Here is a 16,691-nt window from a genome sequence, read left to right as displayed (position 1 = left end):
GAGACGGAGTTTCGCTCTTGTTGCACAGGCTGGAGTGCAGTGGCACGATCTCGGCTCACTGCAACCTCTGCCTTCTGCGTTCAAGTGATTTTCCTGCCTCAGCCTCCCGAGTAGCTGGGATTACAGGTGCATGCCACCACCCCGGCTAATTTCTGTATTTTTAGTAGAGACAGGGATTCACCATGTTGGTCAGGCTGGTCTCGAACTCCTGACCTCGTGATCCACCTGCCTCAGCCTCCCAAAGTGCTGGGATTACAGGCGTGAGCTACCGCGCCCAGCCTCATTTCCACAGTTCTAACCGATATCAGTGAGTTTCTCCAGGTTCTAGTTCCAGCACTGAGACATGATGAGAGGTTCCCAGTAGATAGTTTAAAAAGTGAAAGGCAAAACATCCTTTTTTTCAAGAATTGGAAAATCAATTCATATATTTGTAAAAACTGAAAGTATTTAATATAATCCCTGTCCTGAACAGAGAAATACTACTTCTTACACACACACACACACACACACACACACACACACACACACAAATGGATCAAGCAAAAGATACAGAAGCATTGTCTTATCCAAGGTGAATCTCTAGAACTCATTAGACCATTTCCTTTGAGATGTAGAAAGACACAGAAGTTCAAGAACTTGTGTTGTGCTCTGTGCCCAGAGATGTGGAAACCAGAGTAATTGCTTTCTTTCTATTTATTTATTTTTTGAGATAGAGTTTCACTCTGTTGCCCAGGCTGGAGTGCAGTGGCGTGATCTCGGCTAACTGCAACCTCTGCCGCCCGGGTTCAAGCAATTCTCCTGCCTCAGCCTCCCAGGTAGCTGGGATTACAGGCACCTGCCACCAGCCTGGCTAATTTTTGTATTTTTAGTAGAGATGGGGTTTCACCATCTTGGTCAGGCTGGTCTTGAACTCCTGACCTCGTGATTCACCCACCTCGGCCTCCCAAAGTGCTGGGATTACAGGCATGAGCCACTACACCTGGCCTATTTGTTTAAAATTTTTTTTAAGACACAGGATCTCACCCACGGTGGAGTACAGTGGCACTATCATAGCCCACTGTAAATTTTAATAACTGGGCTCAAGCAATCCTCCCACCTCAGCCTCCCAAGTAGCTAGGATTAGAGGTATGTGCCACCATGCCTGGCTGTTTATTTGGAGACACACAGATCCTGCTATGTCAGCTAGGTTGGTCTTGAACTCCTGGTGCCAGGTGATCTTCCTATCTCGGCCACCCAAAGTGCTGGGACTACAGGCAGGAGCCATCACGCCCAGCGAGTATAATTTCTGGGAATTCCAGAAGCCGTGAGTGCCTCAGTATTTCTTTTAGCACAGAAGTAGATTCCTCAGCTGAAGTAATCTCTGTGCTTTGATCCTAATGGCCAGGGGTGGCCTTTGGAAAGCAGCGGGCCAATTGAAAAATAAAAAGCTTGTCCTCTGACTGTCTTTGGGGTCTCCTTCAGGAACAAATGAATAAGACAAAGTTTGTAGGAATCAGCAAATCATAGGAGGTTGCCTAGAAATGCCTTGAAGGCAGCACATTGTCAATAGTAACAAAGGGCAACAAATTTGAACAAATTAAAAAAAAAAAAAGGCTGTTTGCTGTTTGCCCTTTTTTTCTGCTGGGAGAGAGCTTTGGTTTGGATATGTGCAATCTAGGGATTTGTTCCTGCTTCAAAGGGGGAGAGTTAGGTGACTTGTTATTTTGATTTTTTAAAAATTTCCAAACAAAGCTGTGATTTGGGTTTTTAAATAATCACTTTAAAAATTGGGTGCACTGGCTGGGCACGGTGGCTCATGCCTGTAATCCCAACACTTTGGGAGGCTGAGGCGGGTGGATCACCTGAGATTAGGAGTTCGAGACCAGCCTGGCCAACTTGGAGATACCCCATCTCTACTAAAAATACAAAATTAACCAGGCGTGGTGGCCCATGCCTGTAATCCCAGCTACTCGGGAGGCTGAGTCAGGAGAATCGCTTGAACCCAGGAGGCAGAGATTGTGGTGAGCTGATATCGTGCCACTGCACTCTAGCCTGGGCAGCAAGAGCGGAACTCCATCTCAAAAAAAAAAAAAAAAAAAAAAATGGGTGCACTGCCTGTGAGTTAGTCCTGCTCTGTCAGAACAGTAAAAATTTAAAAATAATAAAAATTGGCCGGGCACGGTGGCTCACGCCTGTAATCCCAGCACTTTGGGAGGCCGAGGCAGGCAGATCACAAGGTCAGGAGATCAAGACCATCCTGGCTAATACGGTGAAACCCCGTCTCTACTAAAAATACAAAAAACTAGCCGGGCGTGGTGGCAGGCGCCTGTAGTCCCAGCTACTCAGGAGGCTGAGGCAGGAGAATGGCATGAACCCAGGAGGTGGAGCTTGCAGTGAACCAAGATCGCACCACTGCACTCCAGCCTGGGTGACAGAGCGAGACTCCATGTCAAAAAAGAAAAAAAATAAAATAATAAAAATTATAAAAATTACATCAACATTTTGTGAATTCTGAATTCCAACATAGAATATAAAGGTTTGGAGACAGTAAAAGAAATTAAAGTTTTTAAAAAGCAATCAGGCTTTCCTAGGGTCGAAGAAACTCAATAATTCATTGATCTAAGCAGATCAACAGCTGGAAAAGAAGAAAAGATGGCCAAGGTATTTCTCCCACTGCCACTCTAGGATATGTGCATTTCTCAGCCTGTGACAAGATATGTAGCCATCCATTTCCAATGGAAAGGTCAGCTGTCTCTTAGCATCTGCTTTCTATTGATTTTTCCCTCTTCTCAGTTGATTCTCTTCTAGTAGCCCTCACTAAAACCTTAAGCCTTCCTTAATTCCCATCATTACCCAGAAGGCATCTTTCCTCCTCACAGTTCCTTTCTTCCTCAAAGCCCCCTTGCTTTGCACCTTGCACCTTTTTCCACAGCTCTTCTAGCCTCAGTTTCCAGTTGTCCGCTTCCTCCAGCCAGCTTCCATTGTCTTAAAGAAGATCTGCCAACTGCACTTGACCTCTGGCCACCACTGCGAGGTTTTAGCTTTACAGATGATGAGATTCCCAAATGTAAACAAAATAACCATAAAGTTTTTCTTTTAGCTTCTTATCCGGGCTGATCTGAACAGTGCCGTTTGCTGCTTGAACTACTCGTCTGAGTTTTATTGGCATGCAGTAGGGGAAAAAAAATACGACCATCTTGTTGAGGGCTGCAATACCTTTTTCCTCTTCATTTTAAAAGGATGGAGAAGAAGGTTTCCCGCTGACCTCCTGGCTCCCTCTCATTCTTTTCCTGTCTATCTTTGAACAAGAAACAAGACACTTTTAGTTTTGATCTGAGAACTGTTTTCTTTTGCTCTCACTTCCTATTAGAGTTTGAGGGGTAGAGAGGCAAGCGGTACAAGAGATTGTCTTGGACACCAGAAGTGGAGCAATCATTGTCTTCTACTCTCTTAGAACCACAAAGATCTTGGCAACCAGACTCATTCCCTATTAACATGCTGAGACTGCACTAACTCTAAGAAATTTCTTCTTTCTAGCATATTGATTCTATTTCCCTTCATAGATGTTAGACAGAAATGAGAACAATCTACTTTGGGAAGAGGGGTTGCTGTCAGCATTCGTCATATACCAGGGAAGAGCTGCAGTGGAGACAGGTGAAACCAGGACTCGTCAATCATGAATCAGCAGCTGGGTTTTGTATTCAGCCCCACAGAGGGTCCCCTGTTCTGATAATACGTCCGGTGTAATAGAATTTGGTGGTGTAGCTGCACGGCATGTCTCTTGTGTCAGAGAGAAGAGTGGGGGACAGGGTGGGTGTTCAGCAGGCCACCCAAGCTTTGTTCTGAACATCCCATGGGGAGCTTCAGGGCACATGACTAGTATTAAAGAAACCTTTACTTGAGATGTTTTTAGGGTGTCTGTACATGAAGACCAGAGCCATCTCTTATACTGTCTTTGTCAGTACTGATGACCTTTGGGTTTACAGAGCCAGTCCCCGTGGAAATCTAAAAGGGGACTCACAACTCACCCAGTCTCTGGGTTAGAAAGACTGATGACCAAAACCGTAAATGGTTTGGGATTAGCAGAGCTACGTAACCATCTGTCAGTACTGAGAAACTTGTCCAGATAGTCTCTCATCTGTAGGGCTAATTGTGAGAGGTATTTCCCTTCAGTGAGGTGGACTGAGAGCTGTTCAGCTTTGGCCCGGGAAAGGGGTAGACACTACATCTCTGGGTGCTTTTCAAAATGGGCCAGATTCTCATTGTTCAAGTGTCCATTGGTTTCAGGCATGTGTGAAATCAGGATGATTGGACCAGATGACCTCTCAGCCTATGGATCAGTGATTAACCTCCCATTCTGCACCCTCCATGCCCTCATCTCCCTCCTTCCCACACCGCACTAGAGTGTGCTAAGCAAGCAAGTGCTTATCAGGATCCAGGAGGCTGCTGATCTTTGTGCGGCATTTTCTGGCTTCCTGCCACAAAGCAGGATTTAGCCTAATACCCAAACATGGGAAGAGATGTGCACTTGAGAACTGCCCTTTCGGCACTGTTTAAGGACTCGAGCATGAGGGAGTGCCATAGCTGGAGGACAGATTGATGCCCCCATGACTCTTGCCACTGCAGAAGTTGGGAAGTGGCTAGCAACAACCCGGGGGTCTCAACATTTCATTACTTCTCTCCAATCCCTCTGTGACCTTGTCTCACCTAAGCTGGGTTCATCTATCATATTGGCGTCTTGAGGGTTTTGTCCCCAAAGGAAGTTCCTATACTAAGAAGCAAATAGATAATATTTGCCTGTTAATCCCTGTACAGCAACAAATGATAAAAGGTAAATTTGTGACAGAGGCTTGTTTTGTTACTTTCTGGTCTGGAACATTTCTAGGAAAGAGGTCTTTTATTCTTTTGTTTCAGACCCCCATTTAAAAAACGCAGCACAGCAACTTAAGCATCTGATTACTAAAGTCTTATTATTCTCCTCGTAAGGCTACTTTCTCTGGCCCTTTTGCCCCATTCCCTACAATTATAAATCATTGTAGTTTCAGGGGAGACTTTGTTGTGAGGCCCATGTAGAGCTACCACAGGCTCAAAACCAAGGTGCTCCCCTCATGCACCCATTGAGGTTAACCCTCATCCCTCCTTAACTCTGGGTGTGCTCTGCTCACACCATCTGACCTTTGGAGAAGGAAAACTAAACAGATTAAGTGATCCCAGCCACAATTGTCTCATCACACCCACATTGTCCTTTTAGTGTTAAAAGTTAAATGGCAAGTTGTGTTTAACCATAAAGTCTATAGGTTGGACAGAAACCATTGGTTATCTTCTGAGAAGGTGAAAACCTCCATGAGAAAGAATAAAGGTGCCACACCTCATTGCTTGATTTAAAGGCAAAATATTGATTAGGTGCAAAGGAGAAAGAGTGGTATTACCATATCTGTGCCCGTTCAGACAGTGAGGCTGAGTGAGAATAGCAGCCATGAATTTGTTTGAGACTCCTGCCAGCCAGGAGGAGATGATCCAAAGGCCAAGCAGCCAGACTCCAGATAACTACGAGAGAAATTCATTAACTTCATCGGTTTCTTTTTTAATAGTCTCCTCAGTTAGAGCAAAGATTTAAGGAGCCTTAACGAGTTCCTTACATTTGGAGTTGAGTCCTACAGGAAGGGTGTAGGAGGTTCCTAATGCAGCTGCCACAGGGCAGTCAGTGCCGTGCCTCAAACCTGAACCAGTTCCATGTCTGTAAAAGGCCCATTTGACCTCAGGACCATAGCTAGGCCATTCTGGAAGAGTACCATTTAGCTACCTGGGCACATTTCTCAGCACCACAACACCTGGAAGAGTGTGTGTGTGTGTGTGTGTGTGTGTATTGAGGACACGTGCTGCTGTCTTTTCCATTCTGGAGGCTGTCCTGTCAGAGGCCTTTCAGATACGTACCCAAGGCACATGAACATGTGTTCTCAGATCCAGGGCTGCTTATCACTTGGTTTGCATAAATGGAGTGGACCCTTAGTTCAGACTCAATCATCCCTCCCTGCCTTCCTCCCTCCCCACCTTCATCCCTCATCAGGATAGTCAGAAAAATAATTATAATTGTACCACTCTAAGTTCATTTTATGAATATTACTGTCTAAACCACATGCTCATTTGTTTTCTCTTTTTTTCCCCTTCTATCAACCCTGGGGGCAGGTAAAGGCAGATGAAATGAAGTTCATATTTGATAAATTAAAAACTGGGGAAGCAAGAAGGGAAATAAACTCCAGTTTATAGAGTTTCAGCTTCCTGTCGTTTTCATAGGCCCTGATGATCATTTGTGAAGAGACTGAGATACAGGTTCCTGGTTGCAATAATAGCAGTTACTATTTAGGAGCTTGCACCATGGCAGGCATTTTATACATCATCTCTTTTAATCTCCCAAATTATTTGAATGTATGTGTTTGTTCTAAGTTGAGATCTAGAGATATTGTTTTGTAGTGGCATCAGGACTCGAACCCAAGTCTTATTAACTCTAAAGCCCATGTCTTTTATTCTTCCACTGACCTGCCCCTATCTCTGATTAAGTTGCTTCTAAAACATATCAGAGAGTGGTGAAAGAGACTGTGAGGCCATAGTTTACCTTCAGCCCAAACCCTACATACTTAGAAAATATGCCGCTCAGAAAATATTAGCTTGGAAAAAGAGAAACAATCAATTTAACGGTGATTTATATAAGCTAGAAACAAGTTGTGTGCCTGAATGTTCACGATTCCCCTCTGCTCCGCTCCCTCCATCTTAATGCACCTTTTAGGTTTCCTTAACAATAGCAGTTTTAACATTGCTTTTAATTAGATGAATTAAGAATGTTCTCTGATGTTATCACCCCCTCCCGCCCCCCTATCACCTCCAATTCCCCATTGCTGTGAGAGCACTGTGGTTACCATGGTAACAGGACTACCAGCCAAGGCTGATGCTCACTGGTTGGCCTGGTCAGAGGAAAGTTATGGGCAGTCCGTCCTGGTATGGTGGGCTTTATGGGGCTTTCCAGGGAGTTAATTTAAAAGCAATGAAGTTAGTTAGCTAAAAGGCTCTAAGGAGAGCGCATTATTAGAGCCATAGAGTCCCCTAGTATTTCTTAAAAGAGACCTAGCTCTCCCCAAAACTAAGAGAATCCCATCTCTCCTGCTGCCCCAAGTTCTCAGGCATGAGTTAAGAGTCATCCTGTTCGAAAACCAAACACCGCATGTTCTCACTCATAGGTGGGAACTGAACAATGAGAACACTTGGACACAGGAAGGAGAACATCACACACCGGGGCCTGTTGTGGGGTAGGGGGAGTGGGGAGGGATAGCATTAGAAGATATACCTAATGTGACTGACGAGTTAATGGGTGCAGCACACCAACGTGGCACGTGTATACATATGTAACAAACCTGCACGTTGTGCACATGTACCCTAGAACTTAAAGTATAATAATAAAATATATATAATATATAATAAATATATATATTTATATATAAATAATAAAATATATATTTATATAAATAATAAAATACATATTTATATATAAATAATAAAATATATATTATATATTTATATATAAATAATAAAACATATTATATATAAATAATAAAATATATATTATATATATTTATATATAAATAATAAAATAGATAGATAGATATAGAAAAAAAAGAAAAAAAAAGAGTCATCCTGTTCCCAGCCTAACCACCTCCTTTCCTCCTTCTAATTTGTTTCTCCCTGGATTTTGTTATTCTTGGTAACAAATTGTTTCTCCTCCCATTCTCTTTTTTTCCCTCTTTTCCTCTACCTAGAGAGTTTTCAACGTCCTTTATCCCATGCCTGCCGACCAGCGGAGACATGTCAGTATCAACTCTGCCCGTTGGCTGCCTGAGCCAGGGCTTGGCTTGGCCTATGGTACTAACAAAGGAGACCTGGTGATCTGCCGACCAGAGTAAGTGGCTTAAAGTGTGGGGGTTGAGGGATCACTGGGGCCGAGGACTGGGGTAATCAGTATTCACCAACTGGGGTCTTTTAGAAGGGAAATGTCAATCCATCTAGAGCCTGCCTCATTCTCAGCGCCACTCCTTAAAGGGCCCTCTTCCCACAGGGGCTGGTAGGATTAGCTCCCCATTTCACATTTCATCCAGAGACTGATTTAGTGATCATGTTTTCTTGAATCTAAAGGCAGTATTTTTTTTTCTTTGTTTTCCCTTGTTCTCTGGTTTCCTAGTGATACTAAAGTTTCCCTGCAGTCAAAAGCATAGATATCAAAGATTCTTTTTTAAACCCTGCTAGAAAAATTCAACAGGTGGTCTTGGGTTTGAGTAAATACCGTAGACTTTAACTTAAAAAGAATTGGAAATAGGTATTGTTGAAACCCTAATTTGTTAAGCCACTGATCTCTAATAGCCGATCTCTAACTGATCTCTAACAACAATTCTGTCTTGCTTGTTTTCCTTTCTGCTTGGAGCTCTAGCTTATACTAGTGAAAGCAGATTGAAAAGCTCAATTTGGGGCTGGGCACAGTGGCTCATGCCTGTAATCCCAGCACTTTGAGAAGCTGAGGCAGGCGGATCACGAGGTCAGGAGATTGAGACCATCCTGGTCAACGTGGTAAAACCCCGTCTCTACTAAAATACAAAAAATTAGCCGGGCATAGTGGCACGTGCCTGTAGTCCCAGCTACTCAGGAGGCTGAGGCAGGGGAATCGCTTGAACCTGAGAGGCAGAGGTTGCAGTGAGCTGACATCATGCCATTGCACGCCAACCTAGCGACAGAGTGAGACTCTGTCTCAAAAAAAAAAAAAGAAAAGCTCAATTTACAGTCAAAGCAATTATTATCTGGTCTTGAAGTAGGGAGTAGGAGGGGATTTGTGTCTGAAGTCCTGATGACACCCCTTCCCCTTCCTCTGGCTTTATGGAGGTCAGAGTTTCTCCAGGCATCCATTCATTAGAGACGCTGGGAGTCAGCCAGGTCTGTCATCAGTTTCCAGCCTCAGCCAGGTGGAGAGTGTGAAGCTCTGCCTCACTGCCGATCAGGTTGATTGCTGCGTGGGACGCTGCAAGGTTCCAGCCGACTAAATGCCACTTCTGCCTCCAGGCTGTCCTCATGTTGACCTCCACTTGGTGCAGAGTCTTTTCCCAGAGTGTTCTGCAGATCACAGAGTGTGGTGTGACAGTTCCAACAGGGTCTCTGGTTATCGGAAGTGTCCGTGTTGCCTTTTGATGGGATCCTTGATAGTTTCTCCTAAAGGATGTATTTGGGTCAGCTCATGTGGCCTGGTAGGGAAGTGCTGATTGAGTCCTTATCGGCTGAATTAGGTCAGTGGCCTAGGAGAAAGGAAAACTGGTTCTTAGGGCAGCTCTTGCATTCCATTTTGAATTTTTTGAGCTCCTCCCAAAGACAGACTACTGTCTAAGCCTAGCCTGCTCAGGCTGCTCTTGGAGCTGCAAGAATGTTTTGTGTTGCAAGCCACTTGCTCCAGAGACCATCTTTCACCATCTCTGGAGCATCCAGAGAGCATTTTCATTATCTCCTTGGGTCTCTCAGTTTCTGCCCTTCTTCTGGCCTGTCCCTAGTCCCAGGATCTGTCCTGAAATACTCCTTTTCCCCAAAGCACATGATGCTGATTGTCTTATCTCTTTTCTTAACAGTTCATAAGAGAAATCTAATAAGCATCTTTTCCAAAACTGGCACAGAATTCTGGACTATGATTCTACTCTTACTTACACTTCAGTTACAGGCCTTTCTTTCCCTGTTTCTCCAAGACCTCTTTCCTCAGCAGTGTTGTTTTGTCTATGGCTTCCACCACTAACTTTTGTCCCAGCCAAATTTCTAGTCCTCTCCCTTGCAAAAATAATCTACACCCAGTTTGTTGTGGCCTCATAAAGGTTTTTATGTCTGAAACCCCAGCCTGCCTACTTTGTGTCAGTCACAGTCACCTCAGCCAAACATGAAACTGACTTTGGCTTCTGTTTTCTCTTTTCTCCCCATATGTTGCTCCAGCATCCCAGAGTCTCAGCTGGCCTAAGCCATCTTGGGCTGCCTGGGGAACTCTCTTACCCACCAGGAACTCAAGCCTCTTCCCTGAGTAAGATGGCATTAGCACTGGACACATTGAACAGTGTCCTGTCACAGACCAAGTTGTGTTGGACTAAGAAAACTAGTTTAGCCCATCTTTTTTGGTTGCTGTTTCTCCTGACTTCTTGGGTCAGGTTGGCAAATGCCTCAAGCCTTAGGGCCCAAAATGTAAGGGTACCATATAAATTGGACATGGACATGACTTAAGTTCTTCAAAGCTTAGGCAAGGAAGACTGTGTGTGAGCAATATACACCTAAGGAAGTTAAGACTCCTCTGAGGCCTCCTAACAGATGACAGAACTAGAATTCCTCACTTTACTATCCAGAGCGCTTTTCACTCAAAAACCCCTTTAAAATTCTGACGAAAGCAATGTACAGTCTTCCACAGAAAAATATGCCACAATAACACACACATACTTTTGTAACTCTTTAAGACCTCAGGTAAAGAATGCAGCTTTAGATTGTGTTGAGACATTTCAGCAGGTCAGGCATGGATGCAGGTGGAAATGAGAGAGGATCAGTGAGCGCATTCATGTCTTTTGAGCGGTCTACAGATGAGTGGTCTCCAGTCTCAAATGAGGAGAACAAATAGGGAAGTAGGAGCTCAGGGTTCTTGTGTGTCTCATAGGCAGCTGCCTATCCCTGGGTGATACAGCTCCCTGGCACACCCATTCCCAAGGGCACAGGATCCAGCCAGCCAGCTGGGCCAAGATTGCAGCCCTCCCTCCGAAACAGGTGGCTGTCTGCCTTTGTCCCAGGCACAGGCAGCTGCACCCCATTTTGTGCTCTCAATACTGCTCTTGATTTCTCCTCCATTGTCTTTGCCTCAGCAGTCTCTCCAAGCACAAAGACAGAGGAACAAGCTCCTTGGGCATCTCTTGGTGGTACTAAAACCCACTTGGCAGTAGACTAAGGCCTTCAAAAATCCTCCATCTCTCCAGGGGAAGGAATTCTTAGGACAGGCAAGAAGACAAACAACTGGCCAGTCAGCCCCTCTACAAAGCCATCCCAGGGGCTGATAGCGCAGTCATCCCGCCCTTCCTGGCACTGAGGCGCTCCCTCCTCCTCTGCTCCCCCACCTGCACTCTGCCCAAGCTGCTGCTGTGCCTCTGGCTGCCTGCCAGCCAGCCAGCACCCCCACTGATAACCATGGGGGGTGTGAAGTGCCAGGTTGATATGAGGGGGTGCTTGCTTACTTCCGGCCTCATAAACCAGCCCTACAAATGTGATAGGGGGAGGTGCTGGCGGGAAGCCCACTGCCTCTCAGAGTCAGCTCAAAGGACAGAATCAGGGGACTCATGGCAGAAGAGAGGTGGGCTGAGACTATGGGGCATCTGGCCCATTGGCCAACTGTGGGGCTCCTGACAAGGCCCCAGCTCTGTCCCTTCTGTAATCATGGTAATTATAGTCAAGTATCATCACCCAGGGAGGGGAAAGCATGCCTCCGAATCAAAAGGGAGCCAAAATTGCCACGGAAACCACATCTTTCAGGCGAGGCTCTAAGAGCCAGGTGCTGGCTCTTTCCCGCGCTGCAGAGACACCAGGCATCTTTGGTCTGATCCTCTCCCGTCGTGTCACTGATAAATGAAAGAAGAATGTTATCCAAGGGAATGGTCCCAAGAAGTTGGGAAGTTCAGAGCCAGAAGTTCTGTGAAGAGAGCATCGTGACACTGAGGGAGCTCAGGTCTGTTCAGGGAGCCCTTGGAAGGTCTCAGCATGGGGAAGTTGTTGAGCCAGGCCCAGAAGCACAGCTTCCAGATGCTGTGGAGGAAGCCAGGTGTGAGGTGGAAGCCCACTGGAAAAGGCTGGCCCTGATTGGACCTCCTAGCCTTCCTCCTCCCTTGGTGTATTTGTGTAGTTCCCAGGAAGAACCCAGAGCAAACAGTGACTCATTCACCCTCACTGAGACCCAAGAAGACACCAGGACATGTTGGGATCATTCTTTAGCTCACAGACAGTCAGTGACACTGGGTATTGAAAGCTAAGAGTTTCAGGCCGGGCATGGTGGCTCATGCCTGTAATCCCAGCACTTTGGGAGGCTGAGGCAGGCAGATCACCTGAGGTCAGGAGTTCGAGACCAGCCTGGCCAACATGGCGAAACACTGTCTCTACTGAAAATACAAAAATTAGCCAGGCATGGTGGCACACACCTGTAATCCCAGCTACTCGGGAGGCTGAGGCAGGAAAATCACTCGAATCTGGGAGGCTGAGGTTGCAGTGAGCCGAGATCACACCATTGCACTCCAGCCTGGGCAACAAGAATGAAACTCCATCTCAGAAAAAAATAGAGAAAGAAAGAAAGAAAGCTAAGAGTTTCAGTAGCCAGAGAGGGTGTCTTCAACTCTATTCCTTGGTACAGTGTCTGGAATTGAAACCAAATCCATGAGCTCATTGTAGTCCAGCTCTCTGACCACAGAAAGTAAAGCAAATCCAGGCTTAGAATTAGACCTGTTTGTGGGGAGCAGAAAGGATTGGGATGGGGAGGCATAGTGGAGCAACACATCTGAGACAGGAAGTACGGCCCCTGTTCTGTTGGCAGTGGACCTCTTCAGTCAGTAGCCAAGGTCACAGCCCTGAGCCGATGATGCTCCATGCTGCTGCCTGGATGGAAAGCATTCGAGGGGACCTTTTGGCCACCAGCATTATGCTGACAGTCCCAGCTCAGACAGAAGGCCTTCTTGTGGCCTCTTTTCTGAGGTAGGAAGGAAGGTTCCGGGTCAGGAAGTACATGGTTTGTTGTAGGTCTGATGTGAACAGTTTGTTGTCACTAACCAGCCCTGGCTAGCAAGAATTCCAGAAGAGGGATTTGGCAGGGACCCATGTGGTATTGCAACCTGTCAATACATCTTGACAAGTTTGTAAATCAGTCTTCCTGGCAGCCAGCTTCACATAGTATCTAACACAGACAGGATTTGCTCACCAAAAACAGAGATGAGTTTGTTTTTGGAGGCCTCTGCTGTTACTTCTGGCCATTTACCTCTTGCATAATGTAAGGTAGCCTTTTCTCATCTTTGCCCTCCAATGCCCATCTGGTTCTCAGACAATCCCCAAACCCCACAAAAATGGCTGTTTAGAAGAGGAAGGATAAACAGTTGGCCCTTGGTATCTGCAGGTTCCACATTCATGGAGTCAACAAACCATAAATCAAAAACATTTTGGGGAAAAAAAAACAGTGAAAATTAACAATACAATTAGTCTGGGAACGGTGGTTCACACCTATAATCCCAGTACTTTGGGAGGCTGAGGTAGGCAGATTTTTTAGCCCAGAAATTTGAGACCAGCTTAGGCAACATGGTGAAACCCTGTCTCTACAAAACAAAAAACAAAAAAAATTAGCCAGGCGTGGTGAGGCACGCCTGTAGTACCAGCTACTCGGGAGGCTGAGGTAGGAGAATCACCTGAGCCCAGGGAAGTCAGGGCTGTAGTGAGCCGTGATCACACCACTGCACTTCAGACTGGGCAACAGAGTGAGATGCAATACAGTATAATAACTATTTGCATAATTTACATTGTATTAGTGCAAGTAATCTAGAGATGATTTTAAGTATACAAAAGGATATGGATAGTTTGTGTATTAGGGACTTGAGCAACCATAGATTTTGGTATCCACAGGGGGTCTTGGAACCAATTCCCCAAAGATACCAAGGGACAACTGTACTGCTTTTTAAAGAGGTGGCCTTTGGAATTACACCAACTCCACAGCCTGACAGGCCCCTTAAAAGGAGCTGGGAGAGGTTTACTACAGCGCAGTGAAAAGAAGAGCACTTTTGTTTGGCTGTGGCTCTTTCCCTTCAAAGAAGCAAGTAGTATTCCCTCAGGTGAAGCCTAATCATAGTTACCCTCTAAAAGACAGATTTGGGCCGGGCATGGTGGCTCACGCCTGTAATCCCAACACTTTGGGAGGCCGAGGTGGGAAGATCATTTGAGCCCAGGAGTTCAAGACCAGTCTGGGCAACATAGTGAGACCCCACCTCAAACAATAAAAAATAAAAAAAAAATTAAAAAGACAGATTTGGGCTGGGCGCAGTGGTTCATGCCTGTAATCCTAGCACTTTGGGAGGCCAAGGTGGGCAGATCACTTGAGGTCAGGAGTTCGAGACCAGCCTGGCCAACATGGTGAAACCCCATCTCTACTAAAAATACAAAAATTAGCCGGGCGTGGTGGCACACATCTGCAATCTCAGCTGCTCAGGAGGCTGAGGCAGGAGAATTGCTTGAACCCAGGAGGCAGAGGTTGCAATGAGCTGAGATCATGCCACTGCACTCCAGCCTGGGCATCAGAGTGAGACTCCATCTCAGAAAAAAAGGCAGATTTGGAGGCTCAGTGCCTGGTTTTGTTGCCTTTTACCTGAGGCAGCACAGCCTCCTGGGACCTCCTGGGACCTCCTGGGACACAGTCCCTCGTCTTCCAGGCCCTGCCTGGTCTCTGTCCTAGCCAACACCCATGTTTAGGAAGGAAGCACCTCCCAGCATCCTATAATACACTCACTTGGGGATGTTTGCTCTTTATGGAGGTAACTTCTGTTGTTAAAGGAGGGTGACCTAGGCCTCTAGGTTAAATAGCTGACTTTTGGTGAAGTTTGTCTTCCTCCGCTCAGGCCGCCCCAGGGGCGAGAGCCTGCACTGTCTTTGTTTTCTGAGGCCTCTGCTTTTCTTTTTTTTTTTTTTCTTTTTTTTTTTTTTTGAGACAGAGTCTTGCACTGTCACCCAGGCTGGAGTACAGTGGCGCGATCTCAGCTCACTGCAACCTCTGTCTCCTGGTTCAAGTGATTCTCCTGCCTCAGTCTCCTGAGTAGCTGGGACTACAGGCATGTGCCACCACGGCCAGCTAATTTTTGTATTTTTAGTAGAGACAGGGTTTCACAATGTTGGCCAGGATGGTCTTGATCTTGTGACCTTGTGATCTGCCCGCCTCGGCCTCCCAAAGTGCTGGGATTACAGGCGTGAGCCACTGGCGCCTGGCCAAGGCCTCTGCTTTTCAAGACTAGGCATGCCCATTGGGCAGGGCTGTCCATGGCTCTGTATCTCTCCAGTGGGCCTCACTCCAGCCTCACATTTGCCATCTTAGTTCCTTTCTCTGTGTCTGAAGAATACTCAGGACCCACTGCCTGTATCTGTTGTTGCTATTTTTTTAGCTGTCTCTTAGCTCCGAGGAGGAGCCGGTTAGGCTTGTCAGGGGGAAGGGAGAAGCTAAACCCACCATTCCAGGCATTTAGGCTATTAGAGATTTGTCTGAATTGATCCAGCACTGAGCATCCTGATGAGGCAGCAGCTCTGGTCTTGGTTTCAGCTCAGCCCCAGGAGAGAGAAAGGATGGGCAGCCACAGTCCACAAAGCCAGGAGTTTCAGGAGCTCTTATCCTTCCCTCTCTAATGCCTTTCACCTTCTTCTTTACCCTTCCCAACTGATTTTTAGGGCCTTAAACTCTGGTGTTGAGTACTACTGGGACCAGCTGAACGAGACGGTCTTCACTGTCCATTCCAACAGCAGGAGCAGCGAGCGGCCTGGGTATGTTTGGGAAGTAGGCAGGGAGCAGCTGGCTGGAGGCCCATCCCTTCCTCCTGCTTTTGATGGGCTCTTAAGCAGCGCCCTCTAGGGCTCTGGGTCCCTCCTCAACCAGAGCAGCACCTCCTTGATCTTTTGTGTACAGTTTCATTTGAGAAAAGTGTTGTGTGGCTAAGAAAGAGAACAAAAGCTCTGCTCTCAGAGTCTTGCTGTAGAACCACCCCCTGGCCCTCTCCCATCCTGGCCATGGTGCCTGGGCACACTTGGGGTGAGGAGAGAAGATAGGGCCTGGAGAAGGATGCCGCCCCATGAAGTCTGCTCCATGGCCCAGGCTCTTCCAGATGACCAGGACCTCAGGGACCAAGCTGCCCAGGGCTGTAGCCCAGGGACAAATCCTCTTGAGGCACCCATTAGTAGAAATCTGGTACTGATCCTTTCATCACTTAATTCACTAATGAAGACTGGAACAAAGCGCTGGGTTGTTGATAAACCCAAAGCAATTGCTACTTCCCCTAGGAATTGCTGAGCATAGCTGGAGGAATAGTCCCAGAAGCAGCTAGAAATGTGAGTGTCTGGTGATAGTCTCAAAAGGCCTGGGCTGCCTCTGCTGCCAGCTCCAGCTATTCCAAGGCAGTGCCTGGGAGATGCCCAAGGAAGGGGGATGCTAGCATTGGCCAGAACCTTCCTTGTAGGACAGCCTGTGCTCCCTACCTGCAAGGGTCTGTTTTCAGAAGGCCCTGGAAAGAGGATCCCAGAACAGCCTCATAAGAGTTCCAGTCCTGGATGGGCGCGGTGGCTCATGCCTGTAATCCCAGCACTTTGGGAGGCTGAGGCGGGCGGATCACGAGGTCAGGAGATGGAGACCATCCTGGCCAACATGGTGAAACCCCTCTCTACTAAAAATACAAAAATTAGCCGAGCATGGTGGTGTATGCCTGTAATCCCAGCTACTCGGGAGGCTGAGGCAGGAGAATCGCTTGAATCCTGGAGGCAGAGGTTGCAGTGAGCTGAGATTGCGCCACTACAGCCTGGGTGACAGGGCGAGACTGTCTCACCAAAAAAAAAAAAAGAGTTCCAGTTCTTTCCTTCCAAAGTGGAGTTCTCAGTTCACTTGCAAATTCAAGAATTCA

At 46.6% G+C, this 16,691-nt stretch overlaps 1 protein-coding gene across 10 annotated transcripts in view; it reads left to right on the top strand.

Annotated features, from left to right (window-relative positions):
• Positions 1–16,691, top strand: part of AMBRA1 (autophagy and beclin 1 regulator 1) — a 197,612-nt gene that overhangs the window by 168,184 nt on the left and 12,737 nt on the right. For 9 of the 10 annotated variants that reach the window (NM_017749.3, NM_001367470.1, NM_001367469.1 and 6 more), the window contains 2 exons: positions 7,788–7,927; positions 15,472–15,564. In NM_017749.3, the coding sequence (NP_060219.2) occupies positions 7,788–7,927; positions 15,472–15,564 (233 nt within the window). Of the gene's footprint in view, positions 1–7,787; positions 7,928–11,547; positions 11,741–15,471; positions 15,565–16,691 lie in introns of all 10 variants that reach the window. The other variant, NR_160027.1, reaches the window with a different exon arrangement.

The sequence above is a fragment of the Homo sapiens genome, chromosome 11 (genome assembly GCF_000001405.40).
Source record: "Homo sapiens chromosome 11, GRCh38.p14 Primary Assembly".
Taxonomy (NCBI): domain Eukaryota; kingdom Metazoa; phylum Chordata; class Mammalia; order Primates; family Hominidae; genus Homo; species Homo sapiens.
This window is presented reverse-complemented; position numbering and strand designations above follow the sequence as displayed.